Raw genomic sequence first — 22,505 nt, forward strand, 5'->3', positions numbered from 1 at the left:
TAAGGTGGGCCAGGCTGTTTATGGCTCCATAGGCTTAGAATGGGGTTTGGATTTGCTTTTAAGTGTAGTCAGAAGCCGTTAAAGATGTGGAAAAGAGGAGTGATGTCAGCTGATGTATATTTCGGATGGAAGCAGAGGGACCACTTAGGAGGTGGTTTTGGTTCGGATAGGAGGTGATAGTGGTAGCTTGGACCTCAGTAATAAGAAAGGAATACCAGTGGATAGTCATTGTCTGTATTTTGAAATGATGTGACCCAGTGGCTTTGCTATCTTGTTTGTCTGTGTTTGGTGCAAATAACCGAGTAACTAATTGCTATTTATATGTTGAGTACGAGTACAACTTGCCCTTCCATCATCTCTTTCTTCTAAGCACAGCTTCCATGCAAAGTTCTGTCCTGACTCTGGGCTTATTTATTTACCTTTGAGGTTTCCTGCAGACTAGACCAGCCCACCTTGGGTGCCGGTAGGCGGTAGGAGTTGCCCTTCTGTTTACCAGCACACAGCACAGCAGCCTTCCTATGTAAGGTGTGAATCTGACTATAGCAAATATTTAGGCAACAATTTTCTTGTGTTGCTTGAAGTCAGTCCAGTGTTGGTTTGTCCTTGATGTGTGTCCTAGGTTAATGTGATGTATTGTTTTAAAATTTTTTTTTCTTCTGTAGACTCATACTACATTTTATTAGTGGATGCTTGAGTTTAATAAGGAGGGGAGAACTCCTTGTCATAGTCAAACCATTCCTTGAATTTGAAAAATGTGCTGCCTCGGCTAAGCAAAGCTGGTATAACCCTGACCAGGATTTCAGCAGAGTTCCTGTGGAGCACTTTTTATCTGGTAGTGGTGGCAGCTGTGTTTTGGGCTTTGGGAACTCTAGTTGCTTAGAGTGTGCCAGGAACTTGGGCGTAGGTTGGTTTTACTGAAAGAGAATGGAGGAGAGCAGAGATAGAAATCCCACCTAATCCACAAATAGAACACAGCCCAGAGCAATGCCTGATGAGAAAAAAAGATAAAGTATAATTTGTTTCCTTAGACAAATTCTTTAATCTGATTTTAACCTGTATGTGTGTCCCCTGTTCTTCTGTTTCTATCAAAACTCTCCTCATCCTTCATTCCTTTCCTGAAGCACCTCTGATTAATCATTCATTCATTGACGAATGTACTAAGCAGGGCAGAGAATAACGGGAAGGGCAGGTTGTGCCAGGCAGTTAGAGTAGCGTATGCTAAGGCCTGGAGGCCCCTTGGTGGAGCTGCACTCACAGGAGGTTGGTGGGCCTGGAGCGAGACTGCTGGGGGGAGTAGCAGAGGCGAATGAGGACCAGGATGAGCATGGCATACAGACCCCTTTGGTATTTTATTCTGGAGCAGTGAAGACCCATTAGGGGCCAAAGATGATCTTTCCCCAAACTCTTTTTTTTTTTTTTTTTTTTCAGACGGAGTCTCGCTCTGTCACCAGGCTGGAGTGCAGTGGTGCGATCTCGGCTCCCTCCACCTCCCAGGTTCAAGTGATTCTCCTGCCTCAGCTCCCGAGTAGCTGGGATTACAGGCAGGTGCCACCACACCCAGCTAATTTTTGTATTTTTAGTAGAGACGGGGTTTCACCATGTTGGCCAGGATGGTCTCGATCTCCTGACCTCGTGATCTACCTGCCTCGGCCTCCCAAAGTGCTGGGATTATAGGCGTGAGCCACTGTGTCCGCCATCCCTCCCCCAAACTCTTATAGCTGTGTATTTCATTCTGTATGATGCTTTGTACGGTCACCACACTGTGCCCAGCTTTTTCTTCTTCCCTTTTTTCTTTAAATATACTTTATTTTTTAGAGCAGTTGTAGGTTTACAGCAAAATTGAGTGGAAGTTACAGAGATTTCCCATATAGCCCCTGTCCCCACTGAACTTCTCAAGCTTTGTGATTTTCATAGTAAACTCACAGATGTTTTGATAGAAACAGAAGAACAGGGGACACATGCACAGCATCCCCTGTTATTAATATTCCTCACCAGAATGGTGCATTTGTTACAACTGATGAATCTATATTGACATATGATTATCACACAAAGTCCATCGTTTACATTAGGGTTCACTGTTGGTGATATACATTCTACAGGTTTGGACAAATGTATAATGACGTATATCCAGCATTATAATATCATACAGAGTAGTTTCATTGCCCTACCAGTCCTCTGTGATCGATTCATCCCTCCCTTCCTATAAGCCTTTGGCAACCCACTAATCTTCATACTATTTATAGAGCATGTATATATAGTTCTGCCTATAGAGAATGTCATGTAGTTGGAATCATACAGTATATATGTAGCCTTTTCGGATTGGCTTCTTTCACTAAGTATATGCATTTAAGTTTCCTGTGTGCTTTTTTTTTTAAAATGGCTTGATCATTTTTTTGTGCTGAATCATATTAATTGCCTGGATGTACCACAGTTTATCCATTCACCCACAGAAGGACATCTTGGTTGCTTCCAAGTTTTAGCAATTATGAGTAAAGCTACTATAAACATCTCTGTGTAGGTTTTTGTGTGGATATGAGTTTTCAGCTCCTTTGAGTAGATATCAAGAAGTATGATTGATAGATTGTAATGTAAGATTATGTTTGTTTTTGTGAGAAGCACTCAACTGCTTTTCAAAGTGCCTATACCATTTTGTATTGCCATCAACAATGAATGAGAATTTCTTTTGCTCCTCACAGGCATTTGATGTTGTATTCTGGAATTTGATTATTCTAATAGGTGTGTAGTGGTACCTCATAGATGTTTTAATTTATGTTTCTTTAATGACAGCTGATGTAGTCCTACTCCCTTTCTTTTGATTGACTTTTAAGGAATAGAAATAATGTTAGGCCAGGAGTGTTAGCTCACACCTGTGATCCCAGCACTTTGGGAGGCTGAGGTGGGTGGATCACTTGAGGCCAGGAGTTTGAGACCAGCCTGGCCAACATGGCAAAACCCTATCTCTAGAAAAATACAAAAATTAGCTGGGTGTGGTGGCGTGTACCTGTAATCCCAGCTACTTGGGAGGCTGAGGCACGAGAATTCCTTGAGCCTGGGAGGCAGAGGTTGTAGTGAGCCAAGATTGTGCCACTGCACTTAGCCTGGGTGACAGAGTGAGACCCTGTCTCAAAAAAAAAAAAAAGAAAATGTTAGTGCTTTTGAATTTTATTTTAGAATGCACAGTAATATTCACGAACATCTGTACAACCTATAGGAAGACCTTTATTTGGTTATATTTATGATATATATATTTTCTTGAGATGGAGTCTTGCTCTGTCACCCAGGCTGGAGTGCAGTGGCGTGATCTCGGCTCACTGCAACCTCTGCCTGCCGGGTTCAAGCAATTCTCTTGCCTCAGCCTCCCGAGTAGTTGAGACTACAGGCACGCGCCACCATGCCTGGCTAATTTTTTTGTATTTTTAGTAGAGACGGGGTTTCACCATGCTGGCCAGGATGGTCTTAAGCTCCTATCCTTGTGATCCGCCTGCCTCAGCCTCCCAAAGTGCTGGGATTACAGGCGTGAGCCACCGCGCCCAGCCTATATTTATGATATTTATGAATCTAATCTTAAGTATCTGGTTTTTCCATTTTAAAATTTCTATGATTTCTGATTTTGTTGTTGGAAGAGTGGTGAACAAGTACTCTGTGCTCTTTTGTTAAATTTATATGAAAAAGCTGACAGAAAAATTACCTTAATTTTCATGCACTTTGGTTATTTTCCTGTAAATCATTTTTATATCTGTCATGTTATAATGGGATTAGACTCACAGGCTCTGTTCTTTTACATTGGTTGAACTTGGCTAAGTTAACTTTGCTGAGCCTGTTTTCTTGTGTCTGAAATGAACTTAATATATACTTGTTTTGTATTTATCTTTTTAAAAATAGTTCCTATTTTAAAATCCATTAATGTCAAAATCTGCTTAGGAAATTGTGAAGACTATCTTCAGATGTAAACCATTTAAAACATGGTCGAATGGGCAGTTTAAGTTAATGGCATGTGTGGTATTAGGCAGGGTAGATACTGAGATGAGTAGGACATGGGCCCAGCCCTTGAATAGCTTGCAGTCTAATGGGGAGAGGGAGACCTGTGGAGATAATTTAATTTTAATGTGATATATGCACGAAGAATCACTCAGCTGGGATTTTGGAGGAGACTAGAAGATGAGGTCTGAGTGAAGTCAAGGGTAATTGTAGGTCATTGATGTGGTGGATTATGAAAAGGAATAGTGAGGAAATACTACTGGTAGTTTTCTAGCATGTTTCAGAATGATTCAAGGTTGCTTTCCAACTGTTTGCCTTGTTTTTGAGACCACTGATTTTTAACCTTGGGGAAGGCACATCAGTATAAATAAATTACTCAGACCTTTTCTTTCATACCAGCACTGCCTATGGCCCTCAAATACCTATCAGTAATTGTGGCTTAGGGTGGTGGTCATTCTAGTAGGATTTAGTAATGTAATTACGGTGTAACCAGAATGTCATCTTGAATGTAATTCCATTTGTTCTTTTCTACATGGGGAACTGACACCCAGAGCGATGAAGTAACTTGATTTGAACAAGATCACACAGCTAGTTTATGGCAGAACTTAAAAAGTTCTTGGACACCTGTTTTTGAGGTACATTGTTAATATTGCTCTGCTGATTTGTTTGCACTTTCATCTTCAAACTGTTTTACTAAAATCAAAACTATGCACATCTATCAAACAATATATTGTATTTCAGAATACTTTATTTATTTATTTATGTTTTTGAGACGGAGTCTTGCTCTGTTGCCCAGGCTGGATTGCAGTGGCGCGATCTCGGCTCACTGCAACCTCTGCCTTCCGGGGTCAAGTGATTCTCCTGCCTCAGCCTCCAGAGTAGCTGGGACTACAGGTGCCCGCCACCGTGCCTGGCTAATTTTTGTATTTTTACTAGAGATGGGGTTTCGCCATGTTGGCCAGGTTGGTCTTGAACTCCTGACCTCAAGTGATCTGCCTGCCTCAAGTGATTACAGGTGCGAGCCACTGTGCCTGACCCAGGATACTTTATTTAACCCCTTGATGAGTGTATTCTTGCAAATTTCAGGTCAAGATGCCTGCAGGGAAATGAGCAAGGAGAGGAAGCCTGAGTAGTCGGGTTGGGGTGGGTGGGGATCCTTTGATATGTGAAGGGTGTCTCTGCAGCCTGGTAGGACCAACCAGTTGTGTTAACTGTGCAAGAAGAAGCACAGCCTGAGTATTTGAAGAGAGTGCAAGTTGCCAATGTCTAATGTGGCTGTTTAGCTCCCTAGCACTGGGCTGCAGTGACCCACCCATTCACTGAGTGCTCCTGTTTCCCGGAAGGCATCCTCTGGGAGATGGGGTAGGTGTGTGTAATGGATCTCTTCCCTCTAATATGAGAGATTGACTTTGCTCAGAAAAACATCGACTGCAAATGGCATTTAATAGAAGGGACAATTATTTTAGCATGAATAACAAGGGAAGAGATGATTATATTTTTCAGAACTTTATATGTGCCAGCCATTGTGTTAGAAGTCTCATAATTAATTTAATTCTCAAAATAATTGTGGCAGTAGTGGTATTATTTCCTCCTTCCACTTTTTTTTTTTTCAGGAAAGAAATATGAAGAAACTGAAATTCAGAAAGGCTAGGTACCGTGTCCTAGCTAATAAGATTAAAGCTTGACTTGTTTGGCTCTAAATTCATATTTTATCTGTTGTACCTGCATTGTCTCTGTAACGGGGATTACAACGCATGTTCAATATGTGAAACAAGGGCAGCAGAGCTTAGAAAAATATCTTGTTCCACTGAGAAACTGAACTTTTTTCCCCTTTCTTAGGTGAGAGACATAAAACATTCAACTAATCTGCTTTTAAAAATAGATATACCATATGGAAACTATATAAGAAGTGTAACATTTTTTTAAATCCCTGAATTTTGTGATGTTCTCAGTTAGGGAGAGAAGGAAACAGGAAATAAGAGAAAAATCACATAGAAGATTGAAGGTGAAGATTGGGAGGAGGTTAAGACAATTCAATGATAGACCGAAAGAGGTCAGTTTTGAGTGACCACATGAGATTGCATTTTCTCGTTGACTTGAGTTGTGGATTTTAGAGTGTTTTCACTTATTCTCTGATATTCTTTTCAAAGTACCACAGAACCATGTTTCATAGTTATTCAGCTTACCTGGAAAGTTCTCTTTAGGAGTCGATTCTGCATAGACTCTCCAGAGCATCATACTGTGGATGTTTTATCGGCCTATAGATAGCACACTAGGCAGGCAGTAGCAGGCGTGGGGTGCAGGTCCCAGTGTGCTCTGTGTTTGCTGTTTAGCCTTGGCTAGGCGACAGTGGGAAAGATGATCAATGCCAGGTGCCCATCAGGTAGCCTTGTTTGGCATCACGTGAGCTGATGTAAGTGCATGTAAACCGTCAAGCACTCTTTTGGATGAACTTGTCTAGGAACAGCAGGGTGTAGCACGTGTTTCCAATACATTTTTTGACCTAGGGCAAGTTACACTTGCCTGGGCCTCAGTCCTTGATCTATAAAATGAGAACATTGTGTTAAATGATTGCTACAGTTGTATTCAATTCAGAATCTGTGTCCCTGTGAGTGCAAGTCAAGCCAACTATCTTAGATTGTCTACCTTTGATAAGGAGGAAAGGGCCCCTGAAATCATTGGTCTAGGTCAGATCTCTCCACCAGTTACCAGTGGAGGGATGACCTTAAGTAAGTTATTTTTTTCTCTAGACATTAATGTGTTCATCCATTAAAGGGGGGATGATAAACAGCTATCCTCTAAGCGGTTGACGATTTATCCACATAACACACTTAGTACCTAGATTAAGCACTTAGTACTCGTGAACCATCATCATCATTGAATTTAGGGGTGGAGGAAGACTTTTGTAGTTGCTTAGCTGCATTCCCTCTTTTTAAGGATGAAGAAACATGAAGCCCACTATAGGTGAGATGTCTTTCCCAAAGCCACAGCTAAGATCCAAACAGAGCTCTTTGCATCACCTGGCACTCATTCAAATGGAAACCAAAAACAAAATTTGAAGCACCCCAACTGACCGATGGACCGCCCCCTCCTCAGTCAAGGGCATTCCAGAGAAACCTGAAAAACTCGTTCAGGTCGTGATGGGAAAGGGGACATGCTTCATTACACCTTCCTCTCTCTGGAATTCAGGCACAACTGACCAGCGTAAACATTAAAACAGAGATCTTAAGACTGCCAAAACAGATCTCAAATTCCAGCCTAACTGCAGTCTGACATCACTTGACATAGCAGGCCCTGAAAGAAATTGAAGTATTTTACCACAAAATATATTTCTTTGGCATATTTTGAAATGGCCCTGGAAAGCTGTCTCTTATGGGGAAAATCTACTTTCTCTAAAGAATCCTCTTCACTTTCCAGATCTTTTCCTTGAACCAGGAGAGAATTAACTAAGAGTCTGGCACATTTTTTGTTAGGTCTGATAAGATCTCTGAAGCCTGCTACCTGGAGGCCTCATCTGCATGATAAAAACCTTGGTCTTCACCCAGGTTATGACCTTGTCTTAACCTACACACTTATTTCTATTGATTCCAGATCTTTAGATAATAACGCTTTCAACTAATTGCCACTCAGAAAATATTTGAATCCACCTATGACTTGCAACCTCCCCTCCACCTTCAAGTTGTCCCACCTTTCCAGACCAAACCAATGTACACCTTACATATATTGATTGATGTCTTATGTCTCCCTAAAATGTATAAAGCAAGCTATAGCCCCGACCACCTTGAGCACGTGTTCTCAGGACCTCCTGGGGTTGTGTCATGGGTCGTGGTCCTCACATCTGGCTCAGAATAAATCTCTTTAAATGTTTTACGGAGATTGATTCTTTTTGCTGACACTAATATTTAGATTCTTTCTGTTGTTCTAGCACATTCTGCATGAATTAAACATAAACCCTGTTCCCTAGTACAGAACAAGAGCAAACTGCTTTCTTTAGGCCACAAGTAACTTAGATCAGTTAAGGGGAAAATGGGGGAGAGAGGAGGACATTGGCTTCTGCCACCAGCAGCCTGTGTGACCTTGCCCAAGGTCACAACTCTGTGGGGTTAGTTCCCCTTCCCTGAAATAGGTGTAGGGAGGGACTCCTTGACAGTTTCTGGTTTTTTTCGTCTCTCAGAGTGCAATGAAGAATTTCTTCATGGCTAAGGCTGTTAGACTCCAGAAAATAGTTTGCCAACCAAAGACACAGAGTTTCCAATTTTGGAATACTTTAAAAATAGGAAGGAAGTTTATTTGTTTAGCAGAATTTATAATTGTAGGACTGCCCAAGGCAGAGAATTAGCCAAGTGGTATTTTGCGGAAGTTCTTTTTAAAGGGTGGGCCCAAAGGAAACCAGTCATTAGGTGGAAATAAACTGTCAGATTTTTGAGACGTTATTTGCTTAGGGACATTTACACTGGTCTATTGTGACAGTCTCTATTGTGTTAGGCTTTTAAAAGAAATATGTAAGTTTCCAAGTTTAAAATGTTAGAGCAAGTGTCCAGTCCACGGCCTGTGGGCTACATACAGGCCAGGATGGTTTTGAATGTGGCCCAAAAAAGATTCATCAACTTTCTTAAAACATTGAGTTTTTTTTTTTTAAGCTAATCAACTATCATTAGTGTTAATGTATTTTATGTGTGGGCCAAGACAATTCTTCCAGTGTGGCCCAGGGAAGCCAAAAGATTGGATACCCCTGTATTAGAACTTGTAAAATTTGACTTCAGAAACACAACCAAAAGCCCGCTTATGAGTAAGGAGTTTGTGGCCCCTTGTGTACTGATTATTAATCAATTAATTGTATAATAAGCATGAAATATTGCTAGTACATCTAAGGCCAAAGCCTTCTTACGGTTCCAGAAAAAGCTGTATTCCTGAATTTCCAGGTGAAGGGAAGGGATTCTCCTTCCATTTCCAGAAATATGTGAATATAATACATAGGGATTTTTATCACACTAGTGTTTCAGTAAAAGCAGCCCTTCAAGTCTGTGCCATCCAGTTTTGGTGTAACTGAAAGAACATCGTACCAAAGTTTGATTTTTGTCAATTCTCTAGTGTGTTAATCAGCTGAGAATGTGGTCTCTGGATATTTTTCCCCAAGGAAAGAGCTGGATGTACTAGACCACCAGACCACACAACTCTGTATTTGTTTTGCAATAACTACACTATTTGGGGGAGTAGTGTGGTGTTTCCAGACGTTCTTGGTCAAGAAATCTGGCCGCTTCAAGCTCAGTGTTGATCACAATCTATTTCTTTTGCCTCTACTCTGTGGCAGGCACTTGAGACACAACTGCCAAGATGAGAGAGACCCAGCTGCTGACCTGGGGCGGGGGTGGGTGGGGGGAAGGTGGTGAAGGCAGTCACAGAGTCAGCCTGCCAGAAAGCAGGTGGGGAACTGTAAACCTCTGAGTAGCCCCTTGGTATACAGAGGTAATAATTTCCCAAATGTAGTAAATCCCACTTTACAACCTCACGGTTAATTTTGATCAGGGATAAGTAGAACTGACTATACACTGTTAACTTAGATATTGTCCTTCTCAAAAACATCATTTTTATTCTGGGTGCCAGAGATTTGGCTTGGGTGTGGGTGTTAAGAACAGTCCACAGTGTCCTGGAGTACCTCTCCGCTGATCTGGGGGCTCTTTAAACCTCTCTAACAAGTTTTTGTGCTAATCCTGACTGAGTAGATGGAGGCAGTGGAGCCCAGCTGGCCTGTCACTATGGGGCAGAGGGTGACTCTACCCTCAAGCCCTGCATGAAGACCCCAGGGTGGGCACCACAGCCCTTTACAGTCACTTAGCACCTGCTGCTGAACACGAGCATGCAGACCTGGTAAGGCTTGTGAGTTTCAGAGAATTCCTGCAAGTCCCTGGAAATGTGGGCACTGGCAGCTCTTCTCTCTCTTTTTTTTTTTTAAATTTAGTGGGCTTAGAGGTTTTAGCCTAATAAGGAAATTTTACACTGGACGATTTTATCCCAAATAAAAGCAAATCATAGGGACCCAGTGTTGCCTAAAAAACCAGTCCTTACTGGGGAGGTCTAGTTGTGTCTAGCCTGGCTCTGTGACCAGATGCCAGCCATTCCAGCCTCCTGTGGCTGCATTTCATCCCGAAAGTGAATAAGGTGAGTGAGTGATTCAAAGGTCCCATCCAGGGGGTGACAAAGAATATTCCAGGTGGAAGAAACTGCATGAGCAAAGGTATGGAGGTGGAAACCCAAATGAACAGAGGCTTAGGAGGTGTGTTCGAAACATGTTTGGTACAAACGGAACTTACAGAGAAAGAAGCCAGGTGAAATAAGGCAGGAAGAGTTGAGTGGAGCCCCATTGGTGGGAGACCCTGAGGGTTAGCAGGACTGTGTTTGTTCTGGTAGGGATTGCAGAGGAGCCCTAGAAGGTTTGTGAGCAGGAGGCTGACCCCATCAGACCTGTGTTTCCAGAAGATCAGGCTGTGCTGGATAGCAGGATGGATGTAGGGAGATGCCAGAGGCGGCAGAGGAGAGGTCTTGCTGGGGTCTGGCTGAAGCAAGTGTAGGCCCGGACCAGCGCTTGAGGTTTTGGGCTCGTGGTGAGAGAATATACACCCAAAGAGCTGAGGGAAAGAAGGAGTAAGGAGAAAGAAGAGCAGAAGCCACTTACCAGGTTTTGAGCCCAGTTACCTAGAAGGCATTTGGGAAACAAGGAAGTAGGAAGAAAGGCCTATTTTAAGGAAAAGAGAATGAGCTTGATGTGGATATTTTAAGGTCAAGGACTAGAAGTCTGGTGTTTTTTTTTTTTTTTTTTTGAGACGGAGTCTCGCTCTATCACCCAGGCTGGAGTGCAGTGGCGCGATCTTGGCTCACTGCAAGCTCCGCCTCCCGGGTTCACGCCATTCTCCTGCCTCAGCCTCCCGAGTAGCTGGGACTACAGGTGCCTGTCACCACGCCCGGCTAGTTTTTTGTATTTTTAGTAGAGATGGGGTTTCACCGTGTTAGCCAGATGGTCTTGATCTCCTGACCTCGTGATCTGCCCGCCTCGGCCTCCCAAAGTGCTGGGATTACAGGTGTGAGCCACCATGCCTGGCCGATTCTTTTTTTTTTTTTTTTCTTTTTTTGGAGACAGAGTCTCACTCTGTCCCCTAGGCTGGAGTGCAGTGGCGCGATCTCAGCTCACTGCAACCTCCGCCTCCTGGGTTCAAGTGATTCTCCTGCCTTGGCCTCCCGAGTAGCCAGGATTACAGGCGTGTGTCATCATGCCCAGCTAATTTTGTATTTTTAGTAGAGATGGGGTTTCACCATGTTAGCCAGGACGGTCTCGAACTCCTGACCTCAGGTGATCCGCCTGCCTCAGCCTCCCAAAATGTTGGGATTACAGGCGTGAGCCACCGCGCCCGGCCTGGTGATTCTTTAAATAGGTGATTGGAAATGTTAGCGAAGTTTAGGAAAGAATTCAGAGCTGGAAATGTAGAGAAAGAAACCATCTTTCTTAGTTTTTGGGGAGTAGATGCCATCCTGAGAGAGAGGGAGAGACAGAGAGAGAGAATCAGAACACTATGAAGAATCTTTTTTAAGATGTCTGTGAAATGAAAGATTTTACTAAATACATTCTAAAGGAGAGAATTACATTAGTAAGATTTCATTACCCTGCGCCTCCCCTTAAGGCTGATCTTTATTTTTTTCCTCTTGTAACTAAATCAAGATGAAGCCTTGCTTTTGAAAATGTCATTAGGATTCAGAGACTACAATTCCCACTTGGTAGATGGAGTTCTTGTTCCTGCATTGTGGTGAGTGGATCAAAGTTCAGTTCCAGCAAGTCACTGAAGCCCCTCAACATACAGTAGCACTCCCTTGGCATGGGGCAAACAACAAAGCTTTATTTATTTATTTATTTTTGAGATGCAGTCTCGCTCTGTTGCCCAGGCTGGAATGCAGTGGCGCAATCTCAACTCACTGCAACCTCCGCCTCCCGGGTTCAAGCAATTCTCCTGCCTCAGCCTCCCAAGTAGCTGGGATTACAGGCGCCCGCCACCGTACCCAGCTAATTTTTGTATTTTTAGTAGAGACGGGGTTTCACCATGTTGGCCAGGCTGGTCTCGAACTCCGGACCTCAAGTGATCCACCCACCTTGACCTCCCAAAGTGCTGGCATTAAGGGCGTGAGCCACCGCGCCCGGCCACAACAAAGCTTTGAGCACATTCCCAGCATCAGCTCTTGGCTGGCGAAGCCAGTCTTTATCTCCTGTCAGCCTTGGTTTTGGTGTTGGTTCTCCAGAAATTCCCTGATTGTAAAATATCTGATCTCGTGAAAATGAAGTCAGCACTTCCCAGAAGTTGAGAGGCCTGAAGGGGGAGTAAAAACCGATTTCAAATCCTGCCTGGAGGGAACCTGCTCAGGAGGTCCTGGAAGGTGGAGGCAGGCTCTCATCGCCTGTCTTTATTAAATAAAGCCCTAAAGCCCTAGACTGTGGTGCTCGAAACTTTTTAAGGGATGCCTGACTCCTCAAGAAGTCTGTACCATTTGAATGAGCTCTAGTTGAAAGAAAGGTTTTTATAATATATTCAAAGTGGAAATCTTTCTTACTTTGTTTTTTTGTTTGTTTTTTGAGACGAGGTCTTGCTCTGTCACCTGGATGAAGTGCAGTGGCACAGTCTTGGCTCACTGCAGCCTTAAACTCCCAGGCTCAAGTGATTCCCCTGCCTCAGCCTCCTAAATAGCTGAGACTATAGGTGTGCACCACTGTGTTGCCCAGGCTGGTCTTGAACTCCTGGATTCAAGCACCCACCTACCTTGTCCTCCCAAAGTGCTGAGACTACAGACGTGAACCACCATGCCCAGCCTCTTTCTTTCCCATTTTTGAGAAGAGTGGAGCTAATGCCTCTTTCCTGCGACAGATTTCTACCCAAGCCAAAGGCATTTTTGTCTTCTTCCCCCAGCCTCTGTTCATGCATTTTATGACCCTTGTTGCTGCTGCTTTTAAAGTGTCCTAAAACCAAAAATGAAACTTGCCGTGTGACCTGATCAGCAAGAAGGAGGGTGAGGCTGTGACCCCTCTCTTAGTGTGAGGATGACATTTCTCCTAATGCCCTAGGCTTTTTGTTCCTTTTCATTCTTTTGTTCTCCAGGCCATTCTGCTGGCTTATTTTGGGCTTACAGTCAATTACAATCCTTAAATCTTTTTCACATGAACTTTTGGCAAGCTGGGACTAACTCCATGGGTGATTAGAGCTGAGGGCTTCTTTTTTGTTTTTTTTGCAACTTACGTACTTAACCTGTATCACCATGTTCTTGATGTTGGCATTTTTTTGGTTTTGTTTTGTGGGTATTTTTTTATTTTTGTATTTTCATCCTATTAGCCAATTTATTTTTGTAGAATAGTAGAATTTGGAACTAGAAGTGATTTTAAGAGTACTGCAGTTTGTTTCCTTCGATACTGACACAACAGCCCTCGGGAAACTGACCTGGAGCGATGGGTGCTAAAAGGAGATGAGATTTTCTTCCTCATATGCTAGGAGCCTGGACAGATAAAGGTGTAAACAAAAATGTTAGCAGAGGGTTAGGCACTGGCTACGAATTCAGACTTGGAAACTTCGTTGTCTGTGCAACTTCATACTGTTTCATTCTTGTCCTGTATAGTATTTCTTTGATTTCCTTCATCTGTAAAAGCAGGAAGAAAATATTTGCCACTCAGTTCTGTTTTTTAGGTATCAAATGCTAGGATACAACCTGAGGTTTCTTTCCCCGCCCCCTCACAAAGTATAGATCATTTGTTTTCCTTCCAGCCCTGGGCTCAGTACACAGATGGTTTCTCTTCACCTTTTGGGTTGCGGTTTTCTCCAGGTTGGTGCTGATGATATGATAAAGCTCAGCACAGAAGGCCTTCAGGTCCAGTACCCTGGCCTTGACCTCCCCATAGGCTGTCTTATCTCACTTTTGCACCAACGCCTGGTAATCCATTACATGGGTCTCCTTGGAGGCCTTGGCCACAGCATCCCCGTGTTCTGAGAAGTATTTGGAAATGGTTGTCTGGACGGCTTGCACTTTGGTCTTAACTGCATTCACCCTCTCCAGCACCTTCTCCTGGATTGCTACCCCAAATCATTTGCATCCTCAGTCTTGGGGATCAGGTGCTGGATCCATGTGATCACCAGAATGCATTTCTCTTTGAGAATCCAGACTTCTGGCTTAACCATGGCAAGCAGCGACAGGACCTTCTCATTCCCAGGGAGAAATCCACACTCAAGGACTTCTTTCTTCTCTTGCCTCTCTGTTTCTACCTCATCCTTGGGTGGGGGTTCTGGGATGGGGATGTCCAGTGGGGCCCGGAGGGAGGTCAGGCAGCTACAATGAGGGAATCCTTTTGCAAGGCCTATGTGGGTATATGATTTTCTGTGGCAAGAATCTGTAGAGGAATTCCTTGGCTTCTTGGAAAAGCTCTTGCCTGAAGACATGTACCTGGGTGTGGGCCTCCCTGCTCAGGCACCCACCACAAGGCTTGGCCGTGCAGCTTCAGTTGCTGGATCTCTGGTCTTCTGGCCAGTCGCCCGGGCTTTCGCATTCACAGCCTGACTGTTATAAATATATATTGAAGTTATCTAACATTTATAACTCCGAGAATGCCAAGGAGCAATGAATAGTATTGTTATTGTTACCCTTGGTATTGTGTGCAGTCTAAAATATATAAAGTGGAAAATGGATTAAACTGCTTTTAACTAACATCCTTTATTGGCAAAAGTTCTGATTTGCCTGTTGATCAAAGTTAAAGAAAGGGAGTGGTTACTTGGTGAGTGTAGTTGATTTCAAGAACTGAAATGGTATGAGAGGAAAACCTGTTTCTACCGCTGATCAGAATGAAGATCTGGGTTCTTGAACACATGTGATAAGTTTTACTCAAGAATGCAGTTAGTGCTGTAAAGCTAGTCTGGCATATTTTAAAATTGTAAATAATTGATAGTTATAACACATGCTCAGAGCCCTTTCCTGTGATTGAGCCTGGCACTCATGAATTAGTGTAATTTTTCTGTTCATTTGGAAATGTGTAAATTTCTATTCATTTGGAAATGACCATGGACCTCAAAGATGGTGACAGGGCTGTGGCTGGGCCACACTGTACATTTGTGCAAGTTGCGGGCTGCACAAAGGCACCCAGCCAGTGGCACAAGCAAGGACTGAGATCCAACCCACACTTGGCTTACCAAAGTCTGCCACCCATGGGTTTTTGTCTGTGAGGGGGAGAACAGGGGTTTGGCTTTTTAAGATTTGGACAAAGGCACTGTATATTTGAGGCATAGCCTATACTATGAAATATTTTGTTTTTAAAAAATTAATTTTGGTGCTGTCAAGGTGATTCCGTACTGTGTCCACATATGTAATAATTTGAATCACATTTATTTTACTGCAATTCCTGAGAAGGAACAAGAGTATTTATCTGGTTAACACGCTAATGGTTTATCTAAACTCAAGCTTGAACCATTAGCTTCACGAGACAGACCAGTGCTTAGTATTATCACAATTTTAATTTAAGCTACAAATCTTCATCTTAGATAATTATCTATGCAAATGCAGGGGCAGTCTTTTGAATATTGCTTTTAGACTGCCATCTAAAGTTTTTGGTTTCTGGGGTTTATTTGGAAGTTTGTTTTTGTACTGTATTGTGCTTCCTGACTTAAAGGCTTTTGTGTGTTATGTCGTGAAGCATTTGGGGGCACTTAGAACTGTATGCCGTTTCACTTGTACATTAAAAGAGTTTATCCTAAGATGAAGATTTTTTTCTTCTTTCCAAATGATTTTGCCCCTAGAAGTTTTTACCTAGTAGCAGTAGATGGTAACTTTGAAAAGACTAAAGTTTAAGAAAAATGTACTTTTAAAAAAATTAAAAATAACCTTTTTTATGATTACAAAAATACATATATATGAAAAATAACATACTGATAAGCCCAAATACATATTCCTACCACCCAGAGACCACCACACGTAGTCCCTTCCAGATCTGTTTTATTAATAAGCACTATTGAAAATTCTGTCTCTTTTGCTGGAAATAAGTAGAAGAAATAACAGCTGTTCATATACATTTACTTTTTTTTTTTTTAAAAGAGAATTTTTTGCCAGAATGCCAGAGTAGACTGAGGGTGGATGGGCGAGGGGATTATTCTCTGAGGTGCAGCACACCCTGGTTTCACTGTCTGCACAGTTCCCACTTTTTGTTCAGGGATAAGATGTCTTTGAGAAGAGAAAACCCATGTGAGTAAATATTGAGTTGTAATCTGTATTCGGATTTCTGGATTTTTTTTGGTCACAGTGGTTCTGCCATCTAGCCACTGAACCCTCCCAACCTTTCCCCGTCCTCAGCCCTCATCTGTCACGTTCAGTTACCACTTCTTGCCAGCTTTACCTTCTAGATAGTTCTTGACTTCATCCTCTCCTCTCCATTTGTATTGCCACTGCCCTAGGTGAGATCGTCACTTCTCTCTCCTCAGTTGCTTGTCTCTTCCTTCATCAGTGATGTATTCACTCTGGGTGTGAGGGGCAGCGCCAGGCACTGGGTTACAAGACCCCTGTCTCCAGCGACTGTCTTCTTGAGGACGAAGGCAGGTGAATGAGCCATTGCCACTTCATCCTTCTGCCTGTCATCCTTCCTCTGCTGTTATGTCCATCAAGCCCATTCTCTCCCCAGCAGCCCTGGTGATCCGTTGGAAATGCAAACCTGGCCAAGTCCCCACCTCGCAGTCCTCAGCTGTCTCAGTCTCAGCTGTTTGCTGGCAGCTGGGTCGGGCTGTCCTGGGCCTCCTCCACACCTCCCTCCTCGTCTGCCTCCCCTGACCAACCGGGCCTCCTTGCTCTTAGGTGGTTTTCTCTGTCCCTCCCCTCCTGACCTCCCCTCTTTGCACGTGGTCAGTCTCCTTGCCTCTGTTGCCTTGTTTTCTAAATCATGTTACCTGTCTGTCCCCACTCTTCAGCCCAGCGCACAGCACAGTTTCTGACTTGATAGTCTGCCTTCTGTAAAACGGGAATGAGGGTGTCTTCTTCAGAGTGTTGGTGTGAGGATTAAATGAGATGTAATCCACTGAAAGCATGGCCTCTGGCACACAGTGGGCCTGATAAGTGGTATTGATGCCTGAGATATTGTATTAACTTAAATGACCAGGTTGAAGAGAAGGTGTCAGAAATTTACGTTCCTCCATGTGTATTTGATTATATAAAATACTGTTGGTCACACTTTCCCTACGTCATATTAGGTAAAGTTAGAAAGTGAAGGCTTTTCCACTGGGCACGGTGGCTCTCGCCTGTAATCCCAGCACTTTGGGAAGCCAAAGCAGGTGGATCACTTGGGAACTCAGGAGTTCAAGACCAGCCTGGCCAACACGGTGAACCCCTGTTTCCACTAAAAATACAAAAATTAGTCGGGTGTGGTGGTGGGCGCCTGTAATCCCAGCTACTCTGGAGGCTGAAGCAGGAGAATCGCTTGAACCCGGAGGCAGACGTTAGTTACAGTGAGCTGAGATCAAGCCACTGCACTCCAGCCTGGGTGAGTGAGACTCCGTCTCAAAACAAACAAAAACAGAAGAAAAAAAGAAAGTGGAAGGGTTTTATGTTTCTTTCATGTTTAACCTACATGTTGTAGGTAAAGTTTACCTACAACACTTTGGTGTATTTTCAAGTAAATATATTTAATCGAAGTGAATTACTGTTACATTATGAATTTTACACTTTTAGAGAAACAGAAACTGCCTCACACATTAAAGTGTGTGTGTTAAGCAAATACTCTGATGTAGGCCCGCAAAGTACACAGAAACGAATCAAACAGCATCCTGCCCCCAGCGCGTGGTGTAGGGGAAGGGCTCAGGGCTATGACAGGTGTTACAGCAGAAGACCAGGTGCCCTCAGGACCTGGGAGAGCAGGCCTGTGGGGGGAGGGAGGGGAGGAGACATTTGGGTTGGATCTGGAAGAACCTGCAGACACTAGTGGAGGAGAGTCAGTGGAAGAACATTCTAGAGGAAAGGCTTGCCCACTTGCCTGCAGTGGTTGTCAGATGTGAGCTGCAACCTAATTAACAGTTTATTGAAATGAGATATCAAAGGTATTTATTGGGTATGCTTTTCTTGTTTTTCCATTGGCAGTGATAATACCAAGTTGACAGTTGAAAATGCTTTTCCATCTGTTTCTGTATTGGACTGAGTTGTTGTATTCCAAGGACTAGCTAGGCAATAAATCACATCAGACTAAAATTGAGTACTTGTAACATTTGAAAAGATTATAATGTGCTGGTATTGATGAAGAATTTATACTGTGTAGAAATTAATTCCATTATTCTAACTAATGGACACTTGAGTTTTGCCCCATTAGAGTTTGCTCTTCATGTTGATTTTAATTTCTTTGATGACTATAGCGTCTGGCGAGGCTTTCTCATTTTCAAGTGGATTTGTTTGCATTGGATGGTGGGGCTGGCTTTATTGCATTATTCATATATGCAATACATATGCACCATGGTCCCAAGACATGACTCGTGGTGGTGGTGATTGTATTTTTGAGATGTAGCTGATACCTCCCATCCTCTGGACTTCTTTGGTTCACATCTTTATTTTCACTAACCAGTAACTGAAAATCTAATATTTTCTTTGATTTTGAATGTAGTCAGCAAACCCAGTAGCATTACAGATGGAGTATCCCTTATCCGAAATACTTAGGACCAGCAAGTGTTGTAGATTTAGGGCTTTGGAATATTTGCATTGTACTCACCAGTTGAGCATCCCAAATCTGAAAATCCAAAATGCTCTGATGAGCATTTCCTTTGAGTGTCATGTCGGTGCTCAAAAGTTTCCAATTTTGGAGCATTTAGATTTTGGATTTTTGGGCTAGGGATCCTCAGCCTGTAGCAGTTCCTGTGACTATAACATCAATAAAATCACAGTACCATGATCTGTTTCTACACTGAACACTTCTGACATCAGATGTGTCAGAGTTTTCCCCACACCAGCAACCAGTTCTCTGATTCTCTGGTCACCAACTGGGTCTCCAGTGATCAGTTAAATTCTGACACTAACAACCTGAAGTTAGCACAGACCCCACAAGTTAAGGGCTCAGTCTCACAAGACTGCCCCAAGATACCCACTGACCTGCTATAAATCAAGTTCCCACCACCTCCTCCTCAGGGTCAGTCATTTGCTAGAATGGCCCACAGAACTTAGAACACTCTTTACTTACATTTACTGGTTTATTATAAAGAATACCACTCAAGGCCGGGTGCGGTGGCTCACGCCTGTAATCCCAGCACTTTGGGAGGCTGAGGCGAGCGGATCACCAGGTCAGGAGATCGAGACCATCCTGGGTAACACGGTGAAACTCCGTCTCTACTAAAAATACAAAAAGTTAGCCGGGCATGGTGGCGGGCACCTGTAGTCCCAGCTAATCGGGAGGCTGAGGCAGGAGAACGGCGTGAACCTGGGAGTCAGAGCTTGCAGTGAGCCAAGATTGCGCCACTGGACTCCAGCCTGAGCAACAGAGTAAGACTCCGTCTCAAAAAAAGAAAGAAAGAAAGAAAGAATACCACTCAAGAAGAGCCAAATGGAAGAGATACGTAAGGCAAGGTATGGAAGGGGTTTTGGGGTGTTTAGAGCTTCCATGCCTCTTTGGGCCTGCCACCTAGCAACACCTCGATAAGTTCATCAACCCAGGAGCTCCCTGAATCCCACCATTTAAGGGTTTTTATGAAGGTTCCAATATGTGAGCATAATGGATTAAATAGTTGGCCATTGGTAACTAATTCACCTTTCTCCCCTCCCAGGAGATATAGGTTGGGGAGTAGGGTGTAAATCCCAACCCTCTAATCACAAAGTTGGTCCCTCTGGCAACCAGTGCCAATCCTAAAGCTATCTAGGACCCAAAAAGAGTCACCTCATTAGCATAAACTCAGGTACAGTTGATAGGGGCTTATTATGAGGCATTCCTAATTCCTTATTATAAGGCATTCCTAATATTACCCAGTTCCCTCAGGAAATGCCAAGGGTTTTAGATGCTCTTGTGTCAAGACCAAATAGTTCTTATTATATCGCGATATCATGTCAGTTATTTCCATATGCCTTACAGTTTTATACATCTCTCAAATACTGTATGTGCTCATCACTGCTTTAAGTTACAGTAAGTTATTGACTTGCTGCTTGATCTTGTTAAATATGGCAGTAAGCACTTAGTACTATATCATAATTATTTGGATAATTCCCTTTCAGCATAATTGAATCTTTTGCCATCCCTTGTGTTCTAATTTATGCATTTGAGAACTTTATTCTTCAGGGTCCATAGGCTTCACCAGGCTGTGAGAGGGGTCTGTGGCACGAAAAGTTTAAGAATCTCTGCTTCAGTCCCTGGGATGTGCTTGAGAGAGAGCATTCCTGCATTCGTTCAGGATTGGTAGGAATGTGGGGTGTGTGATTGAGATGCTGTCTCTCACCTAAGACTAATCCCATATAGTCAGCAGCACACAATTTAACAAAACCTCAGTCGCTCTTGGGGGCATTGTAATATATACCCACCATAAAAAAGAAAGGGTTAAACTACATTCTCTGTAGGCTTTGAAAAAATATACTAAGCAGTTCCCATCCAAAAATATTTAAAATAAAAATAGCCAGACACAAAGTCTTCAGCTGTCTAGAAAAATCTTATAATACAAAAGGAATTACTCCCCGTGTTTCTGGTTTATTATTTTTACAGCATCTGTTTCTTCTGCAAATATTTGTTGTATGCCCACTATGCTCAGGCATTGTGTTGGAGATTTACAGATTTATGGTGGTTTTCTCTTCTAAGACCTATTTGAAATATGTCTTTCTCATTACTTAAAAACTTTGAAGTCATTAGATCGTTTTGCATTGCAATCATTTATACATTGAGCAGACTTATTGAATACTTGCAGTATGCCAGACAGTGTACTAGGCACTTACTTTGTCCTACATAAGTAGCACAATAGACAGTAATCCTACTCTCTGGGAGCTGACCTTTATTTAGGTGTTTTGTGCTCTGAGGCTTAGAGGGCTGCCTTGACGTGCCATAAAAACTGCTTGACGCTCTTAAAAATTATGGGTGGCCATTATTTTAGATTGAGCTTCTCTACTGGGCCCCAGCTGAACATACCAAACCAAAATGGAGTCACTTATGCTAAAGGTGATGTAATCAAACTGAAATGTTAAGAAAGCAGATGGATCCCAGAACAGACCAGTTTAAGAAAGCAGATGGATCCCAGAACAGACCTGAAAACAGGAGATTCCAGTCTACCTGAGTCAGCATAGCAAGGAAGTCCCTTCTGCTTTATTTAGCCCTTACAGAAAAGTAGCCTGAAGTAACCTGATGTTAACCAGTCAGGTTTTTCTATTCTGTTTCTTTGTTTCCATCTTACAATACCTACTGTTCTGCCATTGCCTGGTGGGAGCTTTCATTCGATTTGGTAGAATGGAGTCTTCCCTGATGTATGAATTGTGAATAAAATACAATTAGATCTATAACTAAATTTGTTGCAATTGTGTCTTTTGATACCACTCACAGACCTCGTGTATTTTGTAAGGTAGTGGTTTTCACACTCTGTTCCTGTGGGTGTTTATGATGTCTAGGGCTGGCAGAAGGAAGGAGGGGGACATGTTCTGTTTCCTCAGCCCCATTTTAATCAGAACATTCATACTCATATTTGAGATTGCCGGAAAGTTGAGGATGGGGTGAGATGGAGAGTTTTGTTGCCTACAGGGTGTTTGGAAATTTGGTCAAAGGTTTGAATATGACTGGCATTATCTATTGCCTGCTGATATTGTAGAAATTATTTTTGTCATTTATTATTCGTTCTGTACTGAAAGGTAGATGGAAGCTTGTTGCCTCTAGGTACTGATATTTTAATAAAGTTGGCAGTCAGATGTGGTGGCTCATACCTATAATCTCAGCACTTTGGGAGGCTGAGGTGGGAAGATCCCTTGAGCCCAGGTGTTTAAGACCAGCTTGGGCAATATGGTGAAAACCCATCTCTACAAAAAACAAAAAAGCTAGCCAGGCATGGTGGCATGCACCTGCAGTTCCAGCTACTTGGGAGGCTGAAATGGGATAATCGCTCAAGCCTGAGAGGTTGAGGCTGTGGTGAGCTATGATTGTGCCCATTATACTCCAGCCTGGGCAACAGAGCAAGACCCTGTCTCAAAAAAAAAAAAAAAAAGAGTTGGCCTTTTCTTACCTTACAAACATCAAGGTAACAGCTAGCATTTATTGGGAGCTATTATAGGCTAGGCTCTATGCTAAACTTTCATATTTAATTTTGTCCTCAAAATGACCCTCCAAGGTAGCTGGTAATGTCTCATTTTAGTAGAAGAGGAGTCGAGGTTCCTAGAGCTCAGGTGGCTTGCCCAAAGCAGTGCTTGCAGCTTATTTCAGCATTCCAAGCTACAGAGTTCCCCATAGGTTCTGTCAGCATCACACATTCATAGCTTCAGCTGCCTAGCAGTTAGGGCTGACTTTCTCCTGATAGTTGTGACCAGCAACGAGAGTTCATCTC

At 42.9% G+C, this 22,505-nt stretch overlaps 1 protein-coding gene and 1 pseudogene across 27 annotated transcripts in view, besides 5 other annotated features; one reads left to right on the forward strand and one right to left on the reverse strand.

The window, feature by feature from the left end:
• TBC1D1 (TBC1 domain family member 1) overlaps nucleotides 1-22,505 on the forward strand; it is a 248,090-nt gene that overhangs the window by 90,633 nt on the left and 134,952 nt on the right. The window contains exon 2 of one of the 27 annotated variants that reach the window (XM_047449897.1): nucleotides 4,530-4,613. The exons of the other annotated variants lie outside the window; for them this stretch is intronic. The gene's annotated coding sequence lies outside the window, so the exon portion shown is untranslated. The remainder of the gene's footprint in view (nucleotides 1-4,529; nucleotides 4,614-22,505) is intronic. 27 annotated transcript variants of the gene reach the window in all.
• Nucleotides 466-565: an enhancer, noted in NCBI's record as "active region_21419". NCBI's record gives its function as "activates an Ori minimal core promoter by ATAC-STARR-seq in GM12878 lymphoblastoid cells {active_cell/tissue: GM12878}" and the evidence as "EXISTENCE:reporter gene assay evidence [ECO:0000049][PMID:35858748]".
• Nucleotides 11,305-11,474: an enhancer, noted in NCBI's record as "experimental_79216 CRE fragment used in MPRA reporter constructs". NCBI's record gives its function as "activates a minimal promoter by MPRAs in K562 erythroleukemia cells, with activity observed for the non-introgressed 4:37994727 variant allele {active_cell/tissue: K562}" and the evidence as "EXISTENCE:reporter gene assay evidence [ECO:0000049][PMID:34662402]".
• Nucleotides 12,749-12,888: an enhancer, noted in NCBI's record as "active region_21420". NCBI's record gives its function as "activates an Ori minimal core promoter by ATAC-STARR-seq in GM12878 lymphoblastoid cells {active_cell/tissue: GM12878}" and the evidence as "EXISTENCE:reporter gene assay evidence [ECO:0000049][PMID:35858748]".
• On the reverse strand, nucleotides 13,735-14,518 carry PSME2P4 (proteasome activator subunit 2 pseudogene 4; annotated as a pseudogene).
• Nucleotides 19,325-19,503: a silencer, noted in NCBI's record as "fragment chr4:38002662-38002840 (GRCh37/hg19 assembly coordinates)". NCBI's record gives its function as "represses an EF-1alpha promoter that drives an FKBP-Casp9 reporter gene in an ReSE screen in K562 erythroleukemia cells {active_cell/tissue: K562}" and the evidence as "EXISTENCE:reporter gene assay evidence [ECO:0000049][PMID:32094911]".
• Nucleotides 21,856-22,025: an enhancer, noted in NCBI's record as "experimental_79245 CRE fragment used in MPRA reporter constructs". NCBI's record gives its function as "activates a minimal promoter by MPRAs in K562 erythroleukemia cells, with activity observed for both the introgressed and non-introgressed 4:38005278 variant alleles {active_cell/tissue: K562}" and the evidence as "EXISTENCE:reporter gene assay evidence [ECO:0000049][PMID:34662402]".

This window comes from Homo sapiens, chromosome 4 (assembly GCF_000001405.40).
Source record: "Homo sapiens chromosome 4, GRCh38.p14 Primary Assembly".
Lineage (NCBI taxonomy): Eukaryota > Metazoa > Chordata > Mammalia > Primates > Hominidae > Homo > Homo sapiens.